Raw genomic sequence first — 22,222 nt, 5'->3', positions numbered from 1 at the left:
CGCAGCCGCTTAGGGGGATGTCGCCTAGCTCACGTGGGCAGGCACTGCTGGCATCCTGGCCGGCTGCGTTTGCACTGCTTCTCCAAAACCACATTATAGGTACTAAACAACATTGTTTAGTACCTATAATGTGCTAGACTCCTGGCTGCTAGCGAGGTAAAGTTAAACATAGTTTCTATTACTGAGCTCTCGTAATTATTGTCATAACACCACTTAGATTGTGGAAATATCTGTCCTCACACCCCTTATATTAAAGGTGTGTGCATTTAGAAAGCAAAACGTCTTGTTAGCATTAAAAATCTGAATCGTGGCTGATTTCTTTTCTTTTCTTTTTTTTTTTTTCGAGACAGTGTCTCTCTCTGCCGCCCAGGCTGGAGTGCAGTGGCACGATCTCTGCTCACTGCAACCACCGCCTCCCAGGTTCTAAGCGATTCTCCTGCTCCAGCCTCCGGAGTAGCTGGGATTACAGGCGCCACAACCACGCCCGGCTAATTTTTATATTTTTAGTAGAGACGGGGTTTTGCCATGTTGGCCCGGCTGGTCTCGAACTCTTGACCTCAGGGGATCCACCCACCTCGGCCTCCCAAAGTGCTGGGTTTAATGGCGTGAGCTACAGCGCCCGGCCTGATTTCATGTTTTATGTGAAATTAACTTGTTTGCCTGGGTTAACAGTAATTAACTGATAATTACATAATATTTATCAATTTTTTCAGTTAATTGCTGACAGTGTAAGAAGAGGAGCCAAATCCATTTCAGACACAGTATGCAATTGTGTTTTAAGCCCCAAGAGTAGTTACTTTAAAAAAGCTCACATTATTTTAAATTTCAAAATACATGCCAAGACAGCTTGTCATTTTCTTTGGTAAGACATCTAATTAAGTAGTTAACTAAGAATCAAATCTGTGAAGTAGGACTAAATAGTAGTGGGCTTCCTGTACTAGATAATATACATATATGGTCTTTATGCTGAAATGTATTATGTGCCTACTTTATTTTTGTCTTAGTCTGTTCTGCATAGGTAAATGTTTGGATTATTTCACCAAGCTGACTGGCCAGTATCAATGTTACCAGACTACTGGGTAAAATTATTAATAATGAAAGCTAATGTTTTGTGGTTTGCACAGTCGCATTGTTTTTGTCTCTGCTTAGACAAAATTATAAACTGGTCTTTTTTTTTTTTTTCTTTTTTTTGCCTTGCTTCACCACAGTCACAGAGTGACCCTCTCTGATTAGTTGGTGTTCGATAGGAAAATCATAGCCTAGTTGTGAATGTCAAGCTATCTCCCAACACTGTGGTGTAGCTGTGTCAGGTCAGTCCCTGGATGTCAGGGATGATTTTCTCATGACTATTAGATCTGGCTAAAAAATGCATATTAAATAGTAGTGTCAGTGAACTGACCCTTTAGATGAATATTTTCCCTTCTATTTTTTTCAGTGACCAATTATAGATGTTTTTCTCCATAAAAGTTATTCTAGCTTAAGACCAAAATAATTTAGAGGAGTTAATATAATTAAAATACAGTAGTTCTTATATGCAATAGGCAGTTTCAGTTACCAAGGGTTAAACATGATCTTGAGGCAGGAGAATAGGGTCTCCTATTGAGGCAGGGAACCTAAGGCCGATTCATGCTGACTTCCTAGAGCTAAATCAAAAGGAAAACCCCAACTTCCCATACCTAAGTAACAAAAGGACCCAAAGCTACGCCCTTTGCAAACCCCTCTTTTTTTCTGCGTGGCAGATAGAAAATTGAAAGTATCTCTGCTTGGTAGCTTTCTGCAACCAATCAGACGTTTGCGTAGGAGTGTAACTTTGTAACTTTGCTTCAGCCTCTAATTGGTTGTTTTTCACAACCAATCAGACTGATTGTGGGCTAGTACTTCATTTACATTTACATAAGGTGTACACCAAGTAACCAATGGGAAACCTCTAGAGGGTATTTAAACCCTAGAAAATTCTGTAAGGAGGCCCTTGAGCCCCTATGCTCAGATGGTTCCCACCCTGTGGCGCGTACTTTTGTTTTCAGTAAATCTCTGCTTTTGTTGCTTCATTCTTTCCTTGCTTTGCTTGTGTGTTTTTCCAGTTCTTTGTTCAAAACACCAAGAACCTGGACACCTTCCACCGGTAACAATCCGAAAATATTAAAAAGAAAATTCCAGAAATATTCATAAGTTTTAAATTGCATGCCAAAGTAGCATGATGAAATCTCATGCCATCCAGCTCCATCCCACCTGGGACGTGAATCCTCCGTTTATCTAGCATATCCATCCATGCAATAGACATTACTCTCTTGTTAGTCACTTAGGAGCCATTGCAGTTATCAGATGGACTGTTGCAGTATCACAGTGCCCTTATTTTAGTTCTATTACAATATATTGTTATAATTGTTCTATTTTATTATTAGGTATTCCTCCTAATCTCTTACGGTGCCTAATTTATACATTAAGCTTTATCATAGGTATATAGGAATTGGAAAAAAATAGTATATATAGGGTTTGGTATTTTCCAGGGTTTCAAACATCCACTGAGGGTGTTGGAATGTATCTCCAAGGATAAAGGGAGTGGGAGGGGCTCTTGTATACTTTTAAAAAATCACGATTTTACTGTTACAATTTTTATAGACTATCAATCTTAAAAATTTCAACAAAGTCTTTGTTTTTCTATTTACTTTGGAAGCCATTTTCTGGCAATGGAAAATTTCTGGTTAGGCATTTCCTAAACTATATTTTTTAACTTAATAGTAGTTATTCTTTGTTATTAGTAGGCATCCCTACCACTCAAAAGATACCTGTGATCAAATTTAAGGTTGAGAAATGTTGTCTCTACATGGGATAGTTAGAGTGTATTATTAATGACTCTAAGAAGTTAAGAAACAAACACATTTGTTTAAATGGTTCCAACAGTTAATTGTCTTCATCAGATTTATTTCCTGTAGAAAACATGCAGTTTGAGACTTACTATAGCAATCATAGAATAAACTGAAAGTTCATTGTTGCGCTGATCTTTAAATTTCACAATATAAATACCCATTTATGGTTAAGTGCTCTTTGATATAAAGTTTGGATTTTTCTATGATAGACATTTATATTCAATACCAATCACAAAAATTATCCTAATGTCAAAAAGCACTTACTGTGTGATAGGAAATTATCAGATTTTATTTACAATCCCTTTGAATCTAATTCAAAGGGATTGGTTTAGATTTTCTGAAATGTGCGAATATTTGAGTGATTTGAGTGCCAACACACATACACCACATGTGTATGTGTGGTGAAGGAGCATAGCAGATGAAAATGGACATGTAGACAATTACATTATAAAAAGATGATGACTTTATCCAAGTCATATATAAACAGGACTCAAGGAGAAAAGCACTTATGTCACTCTGGTATGTTTAGGGATGGTGTCACACAAGAGAGGGGAGCATCCAAGGTAAGAATTGAAAGATGACAAAGAGTTTGCTCAGTGACTAAGCTAAACAAGGGCAATTTGTAAAGGTTTGTTTGGTGGTTAAAAAGAACATGAAAATAGGAAGTTCAAGAGAATGGAGAAGAGTTAGAAATAACACATTTTGGAGTGTTTGCTAAATAATTTATTAAACTGAAAATTCATCTGAGAAATAGACACCTCTTTTAAAAAATTTTTAATATAAAAATAGAGGTGAGGTCTCACTGTGTTGTCCAGACTGGTCCCAAACTCCTGGCTATAAGTGATCCTCTTGCCTTGGCCTTCCAAAGTGTTGGGATTACAGGTGTGAGCCACTGCATCCAACCAGTATATGCCTTCTTGACATTAAACCCGAATATTTTGTTTTTTAAATGTTTGTAGTATAGATTTTAAAAGACTAGGGAGCAATTTGAAGATGGATTTGTTGTATTAGGTTGAGCTCATTCTAAAAGGGCCTTAGGGAGAGGGTGGGGAGCAATTGAGGGCAGGAATAAAGAAATGGAATACTGTTTTCCAGTAACCTTGAGGACGGACACCATGTCTGTCTGGCACATCCTAGTTTGATCAGTGTCTCTTAATGAGTGTTAAGATAGTATTTTTTGGGCTGGGTACGGTGGCTCACGCCTATAATCCCAGCACTTTGGGAGGCCAAGACGGGCGGATCACCTGAGGTTGGGAGTTCCAGACCAGCCTGATCAACATGGAGAAACCATGTCTCTACTAAAAATACAAAATTAGCTGGGCATGGTGGCACATGCCTGTGATCCCAGCTACTCAGGAGGCTGAGGCAGGAGAATCACTTGAACCCGGGAGGTAGAGGTTGTGGTGAGCCGAGATTGCGCCATTGCACTCCAGCCTGGGCAACCAGAGCGAAAATCCATCTCAAAAAAAATAAAAATAAAAATAAAAAAGATAGCATTTTTTGAATTACAGTATTCGAAACAAGTTTTTTTTTTTTTTTTTTTTTTTTTTTTTTTTTTTTTTTTAAACAGTCTCACACTATTGCCTGGGCTGGAAGTGCAATGGCACAATTTCCGGCTCACTGCGAACCTCTGCCTCCCCTGGTTCAAGCGATTCTCCTGCCTCAGCCTCCTGAGTAGCTGGGATTACAGGCACCCACCATCACGCCTGGCTTATTTTTTGTATTTTTTTTTTAGCAGAGACGGAGTTTCACTATGTTGGCCAGGCTGGTCTGGAACTCCTGACCTTGTGATCCGCCCACCTTGGCCTCCCAAAGTGCTGGGATTACAGGAGTGAGCCACTGCGCCCAGCCCAAAACAATATTTTAATCAGAAGAAATTAATAAAATATTACAATCTTTCCCTTTTGTTAGTAAGATAGTGCTTTGATAATGTATGCTTTTTTTTTTTTTTTTTTAAAGAGACAGGGTTGCACTCTGTTGCCCAGGATGAAGTGCAGTGGTGCGATCAGAGTCACTGCAGCCTTGAACTCCTGGGCTCAAGCAGTCCTTCTGCCTCAGCCTCCTGAGTAGCTAGGGTACTACAGCCACATGCCTCTGTGCCTGGCTAATTTTTATTTCATTATTTTTGTAGAGATGGGTGTCTCGCTAAGTTGCCCAGGCTGGTCTTAAACTCCTGGCCTTAAGTGATCCACCCGCCTTAGCCCCACAACATGCTGGGATTACAGGCATGAACTCCTGTACCTAGCCTGCAAATACATTTTTGTGTGAGCCTCAAATTATGGTCAGGATAGAGATAGACTGTTACCATTTTCATAGCCGTTCATATATCTTGTCTAGATTGCCTATTATCTGAAACAGTGCAAATAAACTATAATGTACATTTAGATATAATGTGAGCAACAAAAATGAAAATAATTTCTCTTCAAGGCTTTACATTATCTTTGTTCTACCATTTGCTTCAGTTTAGGGAGAAGGACTTCACAGAAGTCTTTCAGGGGGTCAATGTAAAAGAACTTTCACAGAAATATTTATGTACATTTTTTAGAAATAACAGGCATGACAGTAATTTCCTTGGGGAAAAATGTTTAATATCACCATACTCAGAATACATTTTTTTGAATATGCAATTATTTAGTATACACTACAAAATCCTCAATTTTAGAAAGTTTCCAACTGTCTAAATATCAGAAGAATGCAATATTTTGGTACAAAGATGAACCATTTCCTATATTATAGCAAAATTAAAATCTACCCGTATTCTAATATTGAGAAATGAGATAAAACACAATATTATAAAGTCTACTTAGAGAAGATCAAGTGACCTCAAAGACTTTACTATTTTCATATTTTAAGACACATGATTTATCCTATTTTAGTAACCTGGTTCATACGTTAAACAAAGGATAATGTGAACAGCAGAGAGGATTTGTTGGCAGAAAATCTATGTTCAATCTAGAACTATCTAGATCACAGACATTTCTATTCCTTTTGCAAGTTGGCACACAGTAAATGCCCGAATGAATAAATAAATTGCATTAACAAGGATGTCTTCATGTGTAAATCAGAGATAATACCACCTACCACACAGAATGTAAGGGAAAAGAGAACAAATAAGTACCAAAGTGCTTTATACGATTCTGAGTTATTTTAAAAATCTGTGTTAATAGGTTTGTTATTTTACACAAAATATCAAATTTCAAATGAACTCCAGTGCTGGATTTCGATGTAGTATTTTATTTATAGCTATGTTTTCCTTTTAACAAAGATACCATTAACACATTTGTTCAGTGTTCATTTTAAAGGGTAAAAATGTTGTCTTATAGCTCATTCAATAAAACACCATAATTCAGGTCAAATGCCAATGTCCTTGTACCTCCTTTGCTAAGTCAATATAAGGAGGAATCTGTTTTGTTTCAAGACAAAAGCATTTGATTATAAAAAGGTCTACAGTTTATAGTTCTTACTGAATTCCAATTCAACAGCATTTACCAAAGGACTTTACAGCTATTTCTTTTGTAGCATTTATCATATTGTATTATAAATATTACTTGTTTCTTTCAGGAGATAGAGCAACTTGAGGGCAGAAAATAATGTAATATTCCTTTTTATATCAAGTACCTAGCCTTTGGCTGGTTCTTTGTAGAGGTTGGTGCCCAGTAGACAGAGAACAAATGAACAGAAGATCTGTGTTGTGACCGGGAGAGGAAAAAAAATCCATTATAATTTCAGTTAGTTTATGGTCAGAGTGATTAAAAAAAAAACTATCAAACTGAAAGCAGCATTTTAATAGACTCCTTTTAGGTTTTTCTCTGTGAATAAAGCTAGTTTTAAGGTAGACAAATGTATGTTAATAAAACAATTTGATGCAAAGAGTTTGGAGCATGTTGTCAGGACAGCACAATGAAAATCACGGAGAAAACACAGAAAAGTTTACTCTAAAATTATTGAGTAGTAGTTTAATACTGTCAGGTAATAATGAATGAAGATGAAGTAACCTTGTCCAAAATTTGTTGTATTTTACAATATTTTATTTTTATGATTTTTAAAATTTATTAAGGTTTCAAGGTATTACTGTAGATGGGAACTGGGCTACACAAATAAGTGTTTTGTATCTGGGGTGAAGGGTGAACCACATGACAGTGGTTATACTTGGAAAAAATAGTTTTTATTAAAATGATTATTTGTCCAACTTATTTTGAGTTATAAAATAGATATGGTCAGTGAATGTTTGATGATGATTATATGTTGGCAAAAAGTTATTTGAAACCATACTAGAAAAAAATAAATATGTAATGACAATTCCAAGGAACTACATCTAATACTTAAGATAAAGATAAAATAACTAGCAAGATTTATAACATTCACAAAAAGATTTTCATAAATATCTGTTTTAAATACCTCATGGGCATTCTAAGAGACTTTTCCTACCTTTGCATTTCCTTGGGAGGCATTCCTTAGTAAAGAGAGTGCTAATACTGTAAAAGAATTGTTACTAGGAGCCAAGCAAATGCAATCCTAAATAGCAAAAAAATGAAATTTTTAAAAAAATCATGAAGTAGCTATTACTTTACAGGAAAGATTACAGCAATTTATGACTTGGTTTATGCTACCTTTGTATGTTAGTATCACAAGCTTGAATTAAATAAGTTGAGTTAAATAACTTGATTCTCTATTAACAAATTTTTACATGATTTCAACAAAGCTGTTTGAAGCAAAGGGTTCCTATTAAACATTAGTGAAATAAAGCAAACCCTTTAATTGTTCAAGTGGCAATGATAAGAATAGTTCTGAACTTTTATTTTATAAAATAATTAGCATTTGCATACCACTATCACAGACATACACATATTTCTATAGGGAACATTTAATTTCCCTTATGCACTATGGTTGCTTTATTTTTGTTGTTGCTGTTTTAGAGACAGGAGTCTCACTCCATTGCCCAGGCTGGAGTGCAGTCGTGCAATCACAGCTCACTATAGCCTCAACCTCCTAGGTTCAATTGATCTTCCCACCTTAGCCTCCCAAGTAGCTGGGAACACAGGCATGCTAGTTGCTCTATTTCACTCACTAAAAAAGGAGATAAAAAGCAAGCTGATGTCTAAGATAAACTGATGCCATTTTAAGTTATCAATACAAAGTGTGAAGATATAAGTAGTTTCCTGTGATTAAATTTTACTGTGGGTTTATGAAGAGGAAAAAAAAAGCCCACTATATTGATACACTATTTCTGAGGTATAGTATGCATTTGGAAAGTAGTTAAAAAGAAAACAAAAAACCTTAGGAGTTTTGGTTATCAACAAATATGGAAGCACCAATTTTGAAGTTGGAAATGTAAGATTTTTATTATGAGAAAAAGAGTAGTATACATTTATCTAAGCTAGGTCCTGAACTCTGAATTATTTTACAACACTTACTTAGGTGAATATTATCAGCTACTAGATTTTACTAGTTTAAAGTACTTGAGGCCTTACCTAGTTTGGATGACTCAATGGTACTTCACATTCAAATATTTTCAAAATATTTTACAACCTATTTTAAAATCATTCTTATGAGAGAGGCCATGATAAGCTCACTTTTACTGGTAAAACAAAATATAGAAAGTTTTAATTTAAAAACTTGCCCTGTACCTTTTTTTCTATAAATTTTTCAAATCACAGTGCCAATTATAATTTAATTAATACAAAACCCAGCAGTTTTAAGGTCATGTTGAATGTTGGTTAACTCTTATTTAGCATCTTATTTAGAATGCAATATGCCAACTTTGGTACAGGAAAAAATTCTTCTCTAAGTTAAACATATTACTTATCATAAGCTGTTCTTTTAACAGTAGTTTAAAAAGACAAAAACAAAAAACACCTTTCAAACACACAATTTATTAGCAAAATTTTTAAGTCCGTAATTCTAATGTAAGGCACTTCCACTCATTTTCAAATAAAATTTCCATATGAAGTTTTTTATTCTTTTGTAATCAAGTCTTCACAAATTCAGTAATGTTACTTCAAGTAAAACTTTATTAAATAATGAATTTTGGCATAAGTGCCATAATTATCTTTACTTCTGAAAAGAATGAAGGATAGGCATCAAGCTCTGTGCAAGCTAAATTTAAATGAAGGTACTCTTGGTCTGTTTTAGATTTAGACTTAGCAGTGTTTTATCTTGTTGATCTTGTTCAAGGATCTTAAAATCTTCCAAAGGAAGACTGCTTAAGGCAGTTGGTAACATGTGTTCTGATGTACCTTTAGGTAATACACTATTTGCTTCTAAATTCTTTACCAAACACGTGGCTTTGATCCATCTTCGAGTTGCTCTGCGTTCCTTTTGTAGGCAAGTTTTCATTTTTCTTCTTAAGCTTGCTATTTCTTTTTCCAGTTTAATGATCCTCTTTTTTGCCTCCATAGGATTCCTAAAGGCATAGCTGTGTTCAAGTAGTACTTGCTGACTACTAATGTTTGATTTTAAATTAGATGGTCCAGCTGGAGAACAACTGTTGTTTTTCTTCAAAAGATTCCTTGACTTGAGTTTCTGAGCCGAATAAAATTAGAGGGTTGAACATAAATTATGAAATATCACAAATAAGCACATAGTGTCCAGTTTTGGATAACAGTATTTAAACTGCTCTTTTAAAAGTCAATTTTAAAACTTTAATAGGAAACAGCAGCAGCCATCTCATGTAATCCAAGATTAAGTTTTTTAACTGGTTGAATTAACTCTAGTCACCTATTTCTTTTTGTCCCATATCCAGAGAGATTCAAACACTGATTTGGAAATAGACAATGGACGTCCAAGGTTTCTTCCAAATTATTGACTATGACTCTATAGAGACTTTAAAGATCCTTTGCAATTTACTAAGGTCAATTTACAATATATGTAGATATTATTTATGATATTAATTTGATCCCCTTTTAATTAAATACCCTTTTCTCAATTTGATAAATATTTTAGACCCAGGGTCCTATTTAATGAAAACTGAAGGATCTGTAGAAATGTATTCTTAAGTACCAAGCTTCTAAACAGATTTACCTATTAATTTTTGATGGTTATATCTTCAAGGATTTAAAATCTGGCTAGGAACATTTGCCAAAATCAGGAGACTTTTTTTGCTTTTATCTCTTTCATTCAAATGGTCATCAAGTCCTATTAATTCTACCCACTAAATATTCCTACCATGAATCCTCTCCTCTCCGTCATTCTTTTTTTTCCTTTCTCTGTTCCACAATAAGGCTGAACACTGTCATTCTTAATGTCACTACTTACACTGGGCCCGTATCATATCTGTTCTGACTATATTATTCTTTATTGATCTCTCCACTTCATTTTGATCCTCATTAATCCACATTCTGCCATAAGAATAATTTTTCTAGAATATTTGACTTTTCCATTCTGGCCAAATTATTCTTTGCCTATCTATTATCTAAAGGAAAAATAAATCTTTAGATGGCATACTATACAATTTAGGATCTCACCCCATTCTGCAATTTACCATCTTGATTTATACTCCAGCAATACTAAGCCACTGGGAGTTTCCAGATTATATCATATCCTCATAAGTCTGTGTCTTTAATTCATTAAACATTTATTGAAACACATACTATGCATTCCTGGGGACACAACACTGAACAAATAAGATGATGTGGTTCCTATCCTCATGAAACCTACAGTTAGTCCCTCTGCCTAGGGAATTGACAGGAACTCTTTTTTGATCTTTGTATCTCTAGCACTGAGCTTAGATTCTGGCATAATGGAAAGTTTAGTTGTATTTATTAAATAAATAAATTATCAAAATGTCAAAAATAAGGTGTATTTCAAATTCAGTAAGTATTTGAGTATATACTATGTCCCAGGCACTGTTTGAGGTGCTGAGGATTCACGTGTGAAAAAGACTAAGTTCTTGTCCTCCTGGAGCTTTTCTAACATCAGTGGTAATTAGCTTACCACAACCTCGTCTCCATTCAGATAATAACTCATATACATTTAAAAGTTTAACAGTTACAAACAAGAGAAACAGTAGTTTTTCCTCAGAGGAAAACATGTTTGTCCTCCCTTTCAAAGCTAAACTATTTGTGTTCATTTTACCCTTTCTTACTCTTGGTGACCCTGTCTTTCCCAGCTAGGTTTTCCTCTCTGGTCAGATCTTCCCTAACTAGATAAAACATTGTTTTAATTCATTCATCTTATACCTTTATTCTTTCGTTTTTTTTAATTTACTTTTTTTTGCTTCATTTTTTCTTCATTCTTTCCTTTAAATATCACTTGCTAACATTTCCTACTCACGCCTCAACCCACTCGTTTTTGTTCTCATTATGCAACTGTAATTATTCTGTGCAAAGCCAAGTTCCCTTTCCTCTATTTTAAACTCCCAAGGCTTCAAAAGCCCACCCTGAATGCCCAAGCTCTCTGAAGATTTCTGTCATGCCTGCCTCCCTCTGAACTTACATTCTTTGGTTTAATTCTGGCTGTGTGCTCTTAAAGTACTTTGCACATGTTATTTGTATGTCATTTTAAAATCAGAGCACAGTGATGCTGGAGGTTTCATTACTCATATGATTTTTCAGTTTTACCAATGGTGCAATTATTAATAATAATGGGTAATAATGTAAAATTCCAATATAGTAAAACAATTTGGATTGGGGAAAGAATATTGGAGTCAGGAGACCCAAACTCTGATTCTAGCCTGTACCTTTACTGTACAAGAGGAAGGTCTGCAACTTTTTTGAGGCATATCACTATAAATGAATTTCAGTTAATAACTGCATAAACAAAAAGGAATGAGTTCTAAAAATGGTTTTAACAAAAGGAGAGTAACATTACCTACCATAGACTTTATATGGGTACAAAAATCAAAAATGGTTGGAACAGCATCCATTTTAAGTCGTCGAGTTTGTCCTGTTAGGTCAAAACAGGAGGCTTCAAAGTGCTTTGAACAAAGAAAAGTGTGTTTTCCTGGCACAAAATTTTTGCGCCTAACCAGGCGAACCCATTCTTTTCTTCTTTTAGGATCCAAAGGAAACCTTAAAAAAAAAAAAATGCAACTCAAATTCCAACTATCATAATTCTGGCTGCACCTAAATGATTAAAAGAAATTTCGAAGATGATTAAAAGTGTGTCCCATTTACCTAAAAAATTTTAAACTAACAATATCCAGACACTGGAACAGAAACCAATTCATGGTAATGTTTTATAAGTTTGAAAAACTTAGTCAAAAACTGACTTGAGTCGTTTATTTTTCAGGGCTTTTAAAAAGAGACATTTCTTCCCAATTAGCCCTTAATCTGGGCAGTAAATAAAACATGACTAAACTGATTTAGATCAAGTTTAAGTAGAACAATTATAAGCGGGAGTAATTTCACCACGCTTTAATCTGCTGCTGATATATGTAGTCAAGAAAAATCAGATATCTAAAGATTAAATTTTGTCAAGGAAAGCCTAGGCAGATTCTGGTACTCTTTCCTCTATGTCCCATCATTAAGACACTTACCACCTTGTTTTGTAATTTTTCCATTTTAATTTCCAGTGACATAAAGATTATAAATTTCTTGAGGACAGGGATCATTATATCTTGTTATGTATTTATCTTTGACACTTAGCACAATGCTTTGCAAACAGTAGGGATTCAACAAAATTTGCTAAATTAATACAAATACAGAGTAATAATATACTGTATGTAAACAGCAAATACTTTTAAAAAGTCAACTCTTTAATTATGTAGTGCAGCAGAAAGTAAACTTACAAAAAGGTAAAATGCTTTGTAGCAATGTTTTTCCTTTCATATTTCAAATATAAAGTACAGTTGACCCTTTAACAACATAGGTTTGAACTACACAGGTCCAATTATATGTGTATTTTTTTCAATAAATATATTTGAATTTGAAACAATTGGAAAAAACTTGCAGACAAACCATGTAGCCTGGAAACATCAAAAAAATTAAGAAAAAGGTATGTCATTAATACATAAAATATATGTAGATACCAGTCTATTTTATCATTTACTACCATGAAATATACACATACTAGTCTATTTTGTCATTTACTACCATGAAATATAAACAGATTTTTAAAAGTTAAAATTATCAAAATTTACAGAGACCATACATGGCATCATTCAGTCCAGAAGAATGTAAACAAATGCAAAGATGCAGTATAATAATAACTGCATAAAACCAACTGTAGTACATACTGTACTACTGTAATAATTTCATAGCCATCTTCTATTGTAGTGAGCTCAATAACTGCTGTGAGTACCCACTTAAAGTGCCATGTGATGCTAATTATCTCTGTCTAAGCAATTCGTCTCTCCAGTAAGTTGTGTATCATGGCAGAAAGTGATCTCTCGCAGTTCTCGCATATTTTTCATTGTATTTAGTGCAATACCATAAACCTTAAATAATACCATGATACCCATATGAAGTGCCATTAGTGATGATGGATGTGCTCTAAGAAGCAGAGTCATGACAATACAAGAAAAAGTTGAATTGCTTGAGATATATATATATATATGCCACATAGATTTAGGTCTGCAGCTGTTGTTGCCTGCCATTTCAAAATAAATAAATCCAGGACCACTGTAAAAAAAAAAAATCATCAAGCTGTTGCTACAGCTGTGCCAGCAGGTACAAAAACCTTGCACTTTTTGTGAAATATCTTTCTATTCTGTATTGGAAATGCAGCTTTTATGTGAGTACACAATTGCTGTAAGAAAGCCATACCTGTATTCCAGGACTAGAGGTAGTTTTTTTTTAGAAAGAAAATTTTTTAGAAAAATCATATTAGAGTTTATACAGAACTCTGGAGAAAAGGTGAGGTTGTTATATGATAAAACAAAAGGAAGGTGAATGATCTGAAGCTGCAAATTTAATGCCATCAGAGGATGTTTGATAATTTTAGAAAGAGGTTTGGCTTAAAAAATGTCAAGATAACAGAGAAACAGCTTCTGCTGACCAAGAGGCTGCAGATGTTCCCAGATGCCATTAAGATCATTCAAGAGAAAGGCTGTCTGAACAGGTTTCTGATGCAGGCAAAAGTGCCCTTTCTTGAAAAAAATGCCACAAAGGATATGTATTAGTAAGGAAGAGAAGCAAACATCAAGACTTAAGGCAAGAAGGGATAGGCTAACACTGTTTTGTACAAATGCAGTTGGGTTTATATCAGTTCTGCCCTTATCTACAAACCTGCTAAACCCTGAGCCTTGAAAAGGAAAGATAAACACCAGCTGCCAGTCTTTTTGTTGTAAAATGAGAAGGCTGGGACAATGAGAACCCTTTTTCTGGATTGGTTCCATTGAATTTAGGAAGTACGCTGCCAGTAAGGTACTGCCTTTCAAAGTTCTTTCCATTTTGGACAATGCCCCTGGCCACCAAGATCCAGTCCAACACAGAATGTGTCAAAGTGGTCTATTTGTCCTCAAACTCAATGTCTTTAATTCAACTTCTAGATCAGAGGGTCAGAAGTTTTAAGGATCATTACACATGGTACTCTATGGAAAGGATTGCCAACGCTATGGAAGAAAACCCCAACAAAGATAGAAAACATCATGAAAGTATACAAGGACTGCACCATTGAAAATTGTTACAGAAAAAGTGGTGAAAGAAACCAAGCCCAAAACAATAAATTCCTGCTAAAGAAAAGTGTGTGTGTATGTTGTGCATGACCTCACAGTCTTTGTGACAGAGCTGATAAGGGAAATCATGAATGAGATTGTTGATATGGCAAAAAAGGTGGGCAGTGACAGGTTTCAAGATATGGATCTTAAAGAAATTCAAGAGCTGATTTAAGACACCACACCAGAGGAATTAACAGAAGACAGCTTGATGGAGTTGAGTGCTTCTGAACACTGCCAGATGATGAGGAAGAAGTTGTAGAAGCAGCAATGCCAGAAAAATTGACATTAGAAAATCTGGCAGAAGGGTTCTGATTATTCAAGACTGCTTTTGACTTCTTTTATGACATGGACCCTTCTATAATAGGGTCTCTGAAACTAAAGCAAACAGGGAAGAAGGATTGGTGCAATATAGAACCATTTTTAGAGAAATGAAAAAGAGTAAGACAGAAATTATGATGTATTTCCATAAAGTTAGACTGAGCGTGCCTGCCTTTCCTGCCTCCCCTTCCACCTCTTTCACCTTTGCCATGCCTGAGGCAGCAAAACCAACCCCCTTCTTCCTCCTCCTCCTCAGCCTACTCAATGTAAAGATGACAAGGATGAAGACCTTTATAGTGATCCACTTCCACGTAATCAATAGTAAATATATTTTCTCTTAATTTTTTTTTTTTTTTTTTTGAGACAGTTTTGCTCTTGTTGCCCAGGCTGGAGTGAATGGTGCCATCTCGGCTCCCTGCAACCTCCACCTCCCAGGTTTAAGTGATTCTCCTGCCTCGGCCTCCTGAGTAGCTGGGATTACAGGCGCCTGCCACCACGCACGCTTAATTTTTGTATTTTTAATAGAGACGGGGTTTCACCATGTTGGCCAGGCTGGTCTTGAACTCCTGACCTCAGGTGACCCACCTGCTTCGGCCTCCCAAAATGTTGGGATTACAGGGGTGAGCCACCATGCCCGGCAGGATTTTCTTAATAACATTTTCTTTTCTCTGGCTTACTTTATTCTAAGAATACTGTACAGAACACATATAACATAAAAAATATGTGTTGATTGTTTACGTTATTGGTTAAGGCTATTAGTTGAATTTTTGGGGAATCAAAAGTCATACTCCGATTTTCAACTGTGTGGTGAGGGAGCTTCTGCACCCCTAAACCCTGCATTGTTCAAGGGTCAACTGTACACTGATATGCATCCAGTGTGTACCTATTAAGGAAGAGACAAATATAAGGGGCTGTCTCTAAGAATTCTACTGGTAACTTGGAAATATAAGAATCAACATTGACATGTAGTAAGTTTGTGTAAAACTCTTTAGTTTGACTACATTATCCTTTAAATATTAATTATGAAATGACTAGTGTTTAAAAAGAACCACAAAATCCAAGTTAGAAGATCATGTGGTTCAGAAGACCCAAATGCAGCCTCATTAGGTAACAGCTTTGGGTATATCGCATATACTAGGTTGGCTAACACTACCAGCAATGAGGGGCACAAAGAAGTGAATGTCTGGATTTACAGTCAACACTCTCCCATCTTCTGTCCCCATCCCCCTCAACCCTATACGTACCCTGATCTGAAGATACTAACATCTGTATATCACTCCACAATTCACATATGCATTTTTTCTATTTTACAAGAAAATAGAGTTTTTTTTTTTTTTTTGAGACGGAGTTTCGCTCTTGTTGCCGAGGCTGGAGTGCAGTGGCAGGATCTCAGCTCACTGCAACCTCTGCCTCCCAGGTTCGAGAGATTCTCCTGCCTCAGCCTCCTGAGTAGCTAGGATTATAGGTGCCCACCACACCTGGCTAATTTTTTTTCTATATTTTTAGTAGAGACGGTGTTTCCCATGTTGGCCAGGCTGGTCTTGAACTCTTGACCTCAGGTGATCCACCTGCCTCGGCCTCCCAAAGTGCTAGGATTACAGGCATGAGCCACCGCAGCTGGCTGAATAATTTTCTGTAACTTATTTACTCTGCCTAGTCTCACCTCTTAATGACAATCTAGTCTCATTTCAAAGATCTCTGTCCCAGTATTTGATGGTTTGGAAATATTTCCTAAAGGCTAAGCTAAAAATCAGGCTTTAAACACATTTCTTCTTGTCAGGGCCTCAATAGAGACTCAGAATAAGTACTATCATTGTATTATTATTTGTATAAGACTCTTCCACTATAAGACTGTCTTTCAGATACTATTTTTCAGGTCCTTAATTCTCTCTTTTAAAGCTCTTTTTAAAACTAGCTCCTTAATTAGGAAATCAATGCCTTGAATCAAATCTTAAGTTGACCAAATTCTACTTAAGACTGTTTAGGAATCCTATCTTATTAAGGAAGTTTTCCATGATCAGAGGACTGGGTTAGATGTCGCTATAGCACTGATAGCACAGTTTTTTGTTTACTTTTCTATCTTTCCCACTGGACTGTAAGTTTCTCTAGGGTAGGAGCTGTGTTTTTCACTGCTTTGTCCCTGGGTCTAGCATAGTATCTAGCATAGTATCTGTTAAGCACTCAATGAACTTTTCTGAATCAATGAATGAATGAACTAATGGGGTTAACTCAGCACTACTAGTCTTTAGATTTTCTGTGCTGAACAATATGAATAATCAATGATTTTATACTTAATTTTGGTGTAATGTTTTTGTACAGCACTAACCTTGATCATGTTTTGGATGTGTTGTTTGGATTTTTCTCAGCACATTCAAAGGGTGGGAGATATAGCCCATAAGCTAAATTTAAGTTCACCTTAATTTAATAATAAATCTTCACATAAATACAATAAAATTAAGATGATGGTAACAGGATATATTCTTATCTAGACAGTAATAGAACCAGGCTCTTATAAATATTTGATGTTTTGGAAAATCACTCAGTAGTTTAAACAGTGCTATTCTGTGTGCATCTTCAATAATTAGTTGAATGCCTCATACATTCCAAGCACTGTCCTAGGCACTGAAGACACAGTAGGAAACAAAATAGACATAGGACTTCTCTTCCATGAGCGTATACTGTAATGGGGAAGGTAGGGAATCAAATAGCTGGATGCAATAGAATAGAGTGGCCACTGTCTCTGGACTCAAACCAGGGCACCAATCCTGGCTCCTTTGCATAATATCTGGGTGACTTTAGGCAAGTTAACCTTTTTAGGTCTCCTTTTATCATATGTAAAGTGGGGATAAGAATGGCACCTAGTGTGGTCATAAGGATTAAATGAAAAAATGTCAGTAAATGCTTAGCCCAGTGCACAGTACATGCTAAATATTAAATAAATGCTATTTATTATTATAATAAAAGTAACTACAAGTGTCGATGAGTCTTATAAAAGCATAAGTACAGGGTTGTGTGGAACCGTAAAACAGGAAGAGCTAGTCTAGTCAGGAGGCCTTAAAAATTATAGGAATCAGCTAGAGAAGTTAGGGTGGGACAGTAGAGTGTTAAGAATATCTTGGGGACAGAGAATAGTGTTATGAAACAATGCTGGAGGGCCTTCTAAGTCAAAGAGTAATTTTGAACCTTATCCACCTTATCCAAAATGGCAATGGTAAGCCATTAAAAGGCTGAATTGTGGGAGCTGATTGTTAACAGAAAATCTGTAAGCCAGTTGTTAAACACAGCCATTATTAAAATTAAACTAATATAAAGTTGCAATTAAATAAATTAAAATGAAAGGTAATAAATACCAAAACCCCCAAATTTCCTAGTGATTTTACTGTTACCTTTACTCTTAAGGTTGTCTGTTGTATCTGTATGGTGGAAATACTAAAATAGTGTGAAACTGCACATCTCTTTCCAACTCCATAATCAGTGATGTCATATTGATAGCTTGAAACTAGACTTGGTAGTAGTATTTACATCATAGAAGGTGGGGAAACACTACAAATCAGGGCTTTTCCCCCTCCCTAGAGAACATTTATTAAATATTTAGCAACATACTATTGATTACAGAAGAGTGCCTAGGAGTGCATGGATGGAAGCAGTGAGCCAGTTAAGAGCCTACTGTAATAATCTAATCAAGGGGTAATGGTGAGAAGTCAAGGGAGGAAGACTTCCAAGTTTCCAGATGGGTAGATCTTCATTTACTGAGAAGCAGAGTACAGGAAGTGGGGGTAAGTTTGGGGAAGGGCAGTTTGTTAATATAGATAATGAATCTGGGTAACTAAAAGGAGACCAGAGAAATACTGAGTAGACACTTGGCCTATAGGTCTGGAACTCATTAGACAGAGATGGACTGGAGATACTGATTTGGGAGGCATCAACAAGTAGATGCTGAGACCACAGAACAGCTGAAATTATTCTGATACGAATGTGAAGACCTGGCTTAAGGAGTAGAGAGAAGAGTAGCAAAAGAGATTGAAGACAGGCCAAAAAAGTCAGAAGATAATCATAAAATTAGTGTCATAGAGAGTATTTCATGGAGGAAATGATCACATACCATGAAAAATGAATGTAGAGAGACATTAAGGTCATGTTAGCAAGAGCAATTTCAGAAGATTACTGGGGAGACTTAAGACTTGAGTTGGCTAAGAGGTAAGAAAGATAGAGACAGTAAGTTTAGGCAAAATAACTTGCACATAGAGATACAGAAGTCTACTAATGGCCAGGCGTGGTGGCTTACGCCTGTAATCCCAACACTTTGGGAGGCCGAGGCAGGTGGATCACAAGGTCAGGAGTTCGAGACCAGCCTGGCCAATATGGTGAAACCCCATCTCTTCTAAAAAATATAAAAATTAGCCAGGCATGTGGGCATGCCTGTAGTCCCAGCTATTCGGGAGGCTGAGGCAGGAGAATTGCTGGAACCCAGGAGGTGGAGGTTGCAGTGAGCGAAGATCACACCATTGCACTCCAGCCTGGGTGACAGAATGAGACTCTGTCTCAAAAAGAAAAAGAAAAAGAAAAAAAAGTCTACTAATGTCCCAGTAGAAAAGGAGTGAATCAATTAATCCTTGTTTGTATTTACAAAATAGGAATGTATTTTTATTATAATGAATACTATTTTAAGACCTAAATTTCTGAGGTTACACATGAAAATGTTAAATTCATAGTAGGCAAATTTTATGCATGTTATTGTACCACCATCCATCTCTTTTTTTTTGTTTTGTTTTTTGTTTTTTCTTGAGACAGGGTCTCACTGTATTGCCCAGGCTGGAGTACAGTGGCATGATTATGGCTCAGTGCAGCCTTAACTTCCCCAGTTCAGGTAGTCCTCCCACCTCAGCCTCCGGAGTAGCTGGGACTACAGGCATGCGTCACCAGGGCCAGCTGATTTTTTTGTATTTTTTTGTAGAGACGAGGTTTCACCATGTTGCCTAGGCTGGTCTCAAACTCCTGGGCTCAAGTGATCAGCCCGCCCTGGCCTCTCGAAGTGCTGGGATTACAGGTGTGAGCCACCACACTGGGTTAAACATTGTTATTGGTGTCTGGACTCCCCTCTCTCATCTATCCAATCAAATTACTAAATTCAGTAGTTTCTCCTTGAACATTTCTCCAATCTGTCCCCTCCTCTCCATTTCTACTCTAATATCACCCTAGTCTAGAAATTTGGGTGGACTTTCCTTGTTTTATTTACTACAGCTTCCTAACTAGTTTTTCTCTGTCAGCTCACACATTCCCTAATTCAATGCTGATTGTGCCAGCAACTGAGTAAAGGGTTTAGTTTAGTTGACATTGTAGCAAGATTTCCCTGTGAAGGAAAAAAATAGGTAAATTAATATTCTGTAATAAGTTCCTTTCTCATCAAGTTCATTCCCGATGATGCTTGACCAGCACTTTCAGTAACACTACGATTCTCTACACTGCAGCCAGAGGACTTTTCAATATGCAAATCTAATCGTGCCATTCTTTTTTAAACCCTCCATGGTTTCTCAAGTACTCTTAGGATAAAACAGAAAATACTTAAGTAGCACACAGGACCCAATCTGTCATCCTTTGGTCTCATTTGAAATGTCACATCCTTTGAAAAAGTGTTCTTTGACTTTCCAAGACTAAGTTAGGTCTCTGAATGTTTCTTCTGTGGCACTTAATTATTTATGTCTTTCTCCACCATTAAATTCTAAATTCCAGGAGGGTTAGAACTTTCTGGATCCTTAGCACAATGTCAGGTAATTAGGAACTCCGTACATATTTGATGGATGAATGAACAAAGCACTACATATGCATGAACTAGTTTAAAAACAGAAACATCACAAGATTTTTTTTAAGTGGCAGCTTTTAATAAAAGTACAGTTCGTAATAGGTAGGGAAAAAGGTCAAGGATATAATTTCTACATACTAACATATACGTTGTTAGGTATATAAAATATATAAAATCAGGACTGGTGTCACTTAACTTTTTAATGTGTCTTTTCTTCGGGCACGTGGCAGGCACTTGCAGAGAAGGTAAACATTTACAGAGTACCTGTTATTTTCCAGGCATTGTTCAAAGTGCTTTCAAGAGTTCTGGTTTGACAGAACTAAAGAATTTTGATTTTTCTTCCAGCAAACAAAAGAAAACCTAGGTTCTTTTTATTACTCTATTCTAGTAAGAACAGAAAGGTTATCTTTTGCACTTTAATTAACATCGCTTAATTCCATGGCTATCAAAGATGACTCAATTCCTCCGCAGAATTACTATGTGACTATTAGAAATCTAAATGCCTCCCATGTCAATTCATCTAGTGAGAATTTCCTAATTTTAACGGGAACACAGCAGGCTTTTACGGTGATTGCTGATTGGGAAGATCTCTTTCTCCCTTACGGCGTCATTCATGTCAAGGCCCGGTCTAACAGAGGAATAAAACAGTAGAAAATTACGATATCCTCCTGTTACTTTTTTTTACTAAGGGGTAATGACCAAACAGTACTTGGATTTCTTTTAGAAAATGAGTAAAGCTTCCCCGAAAGCAGAGAACAATTGGGCAGATTTGAGAAACACAAAGGACATACGATGCTTCCCTGCTACCAGCTGGGAAAGTTATTAGAATTAGCAGAATCCTCCTGTTCCTTCCACACAAGCGATAGCCACAATAGGAACTCCAGTTTCCGTCACCCCCACTCCCTGCCCAGGTTACCTGTGGAAGCTGATGTTAATGTGCTTGTTGTAGGTAGTGGCACAGCCCGCCGCAGCGCAATTGGTCGGCATTTCCCTTTCCCACTCATTCAGCGCCCTTAGGTCTCTACTGAGGCGCTGGCTGCTAAGCTTTCTTCTGGCAGAGGCTGGACAATCGAGGCAGGCGTGCCTTAATCGTGAGAGCTTAGTCGTGAGAGCGGAGTGGGAAGAAGGGGTGTGTATGTGGGGGCGGAGGCGAAGGACGGTCAGCCTTCCCTTTCTCTTTATTAATATGGCCGACTAGAGCCCACAGAACTGGCCCTCCTGGAGCTCTAGTCGCCTTCGCTTGACTTCACCAACATGGCGGACACAACCCGTTCTTTCTCCCCGCCCCCAAGAGGGAGCGGATCTACTGCGTTTCTTTGGCAGCGGTCCTCAGAGCAATTAAAAGGAAGAGGTGTTTTCCCCTCCGATTACTATAAATTACAAGAGTTTTACAATAAAACTCTCTCAAGGCTGCAACAGCAGCTCCACCTACTTCTGCATGCACCCAACTGTACCAAGCCAGACCCTGCGGTGGGTGTGACCCTAGGACCGGAAGAGTAAACCCGAAGAAAGACGAAAGACTACAAATCCTAGTGAGTATCGAGTTGGTCTTATTATCGCGTGAACTGGGAGCCTTTGTTTCCTGCGTGTCGCAGGAAGTGACGTTTCGGGTACAGCCGCTACCAGAGTCCCTTTCTCGCG

At 36.8% G+C, this 22,222-nt stretch overlaps 1 protein-coding gene and 1 long non-coding RNA gene across 2 annotated transcripts, besides 2 other annotated features; one reads left to right on the top strand and one right to left on the bottom strand.

Moving 5' to 3' along the window:
• Positions 1–13: 13 nt before the first annotated feature.
• LOC124902965 (uncharacterized) lies at positions 14–14,488 on the top strand. The gene is made up of 2 exons (XR_007063367.1): positions 14–156; positions 14,296–14,488. It is a non-coding gene; the product is annotated as an uncharacterized LOC124902965 (long non-coding RNA).
• On the bottom strand, positions 5,434–21,777 carry THAP2 (THAP domain containing 2). The gene is made up of 3 exons (NM_031435.4): positions 21,498–21,777; positions 11,680–11,875; positions 5,434–9,389 (listed from the first exon to the last, which is right to left on the bottom strand). Exons 1-3 carry the CDS (start codon positions 21,566–21,568, stop codon positions 8,970–8,972), a joined length of 687 nt encoding a protein of 228 aa, NP_113623.1. The 5' UTR covers positions 21,569–21,777; the 3' UTR covers positions 5,434–8,969.
• Positions 21,577–22,135: an enhancer, noted in NCBI's record as "NANOG-H3K27ac-H3K4me1 hESC enhancer chr12:72057723-72058281 (GRCh37/hg19 assembly coordinates)". NCBI's record gives its function as "activates a minimal SCP1, AML or CMV promoter by ChIP-STARR-seq in primed H9 embryonic stem cells {active_cell/tissue: H9 hESC(primed)}" and the evidence as "EXISTENCE:reporter gene assay evidence [ECO:0000049][PMID:30033119]".
• Positions 21,768–22,127: an enhancer, noted in NCBI's record as "active region_6660". NCBI's record gives its function as "activates an Ori minimal core promoter by ATAC-STARR-seq in GM12878 lymphoblastoid cells {active_cell/tissue: GM12878}" and the evidence as "EXISTENCE:reporter gene assay evidence [ECO:0000049][PMID:35858748]".

Source organism: Homo sapiens, chromosome 12 (assembly GCF_000001405.40).
Source record: "Homo sapiens chromosome 12, GRCh38.p14 Primary Assembly".
Taxonomy (NCBI): Eukaryota; Metazoa; Chordata; class Mammalia; order Primates; family Hominidae; genus Homo; species Homo sapiens.
Note: the sequence above shows the minus strand (reverse complement) of the source record. Positions and strands in the feature narration are given on the sequence as shown.

Excerpts from the sequence above, each read along its gene's own strand:
- THAP2 (NM_031435.4), bottom strand. The coding sequence starts at position 21,568 with ATGCCGACCAATTGCGCTGCGGCGGGCTGTGCCACTACCTACAACAAG. Across the intron at positions 11,876-21,497 it reads ATTAACATCAGCTTCCACAG|GTTTCCTTTGGATCCTAAAA; the intron begins GTAACCTGGGCA and ends TTTTTTTTTAAG. Across the intron at positions 9,390-11,679 it reads GTACCCATATAAAGTCTATG|AAACTCAAGTCAAGGAATCT; the intron begins GTAGGTAATGTT and ends TATTCGGCTCAG.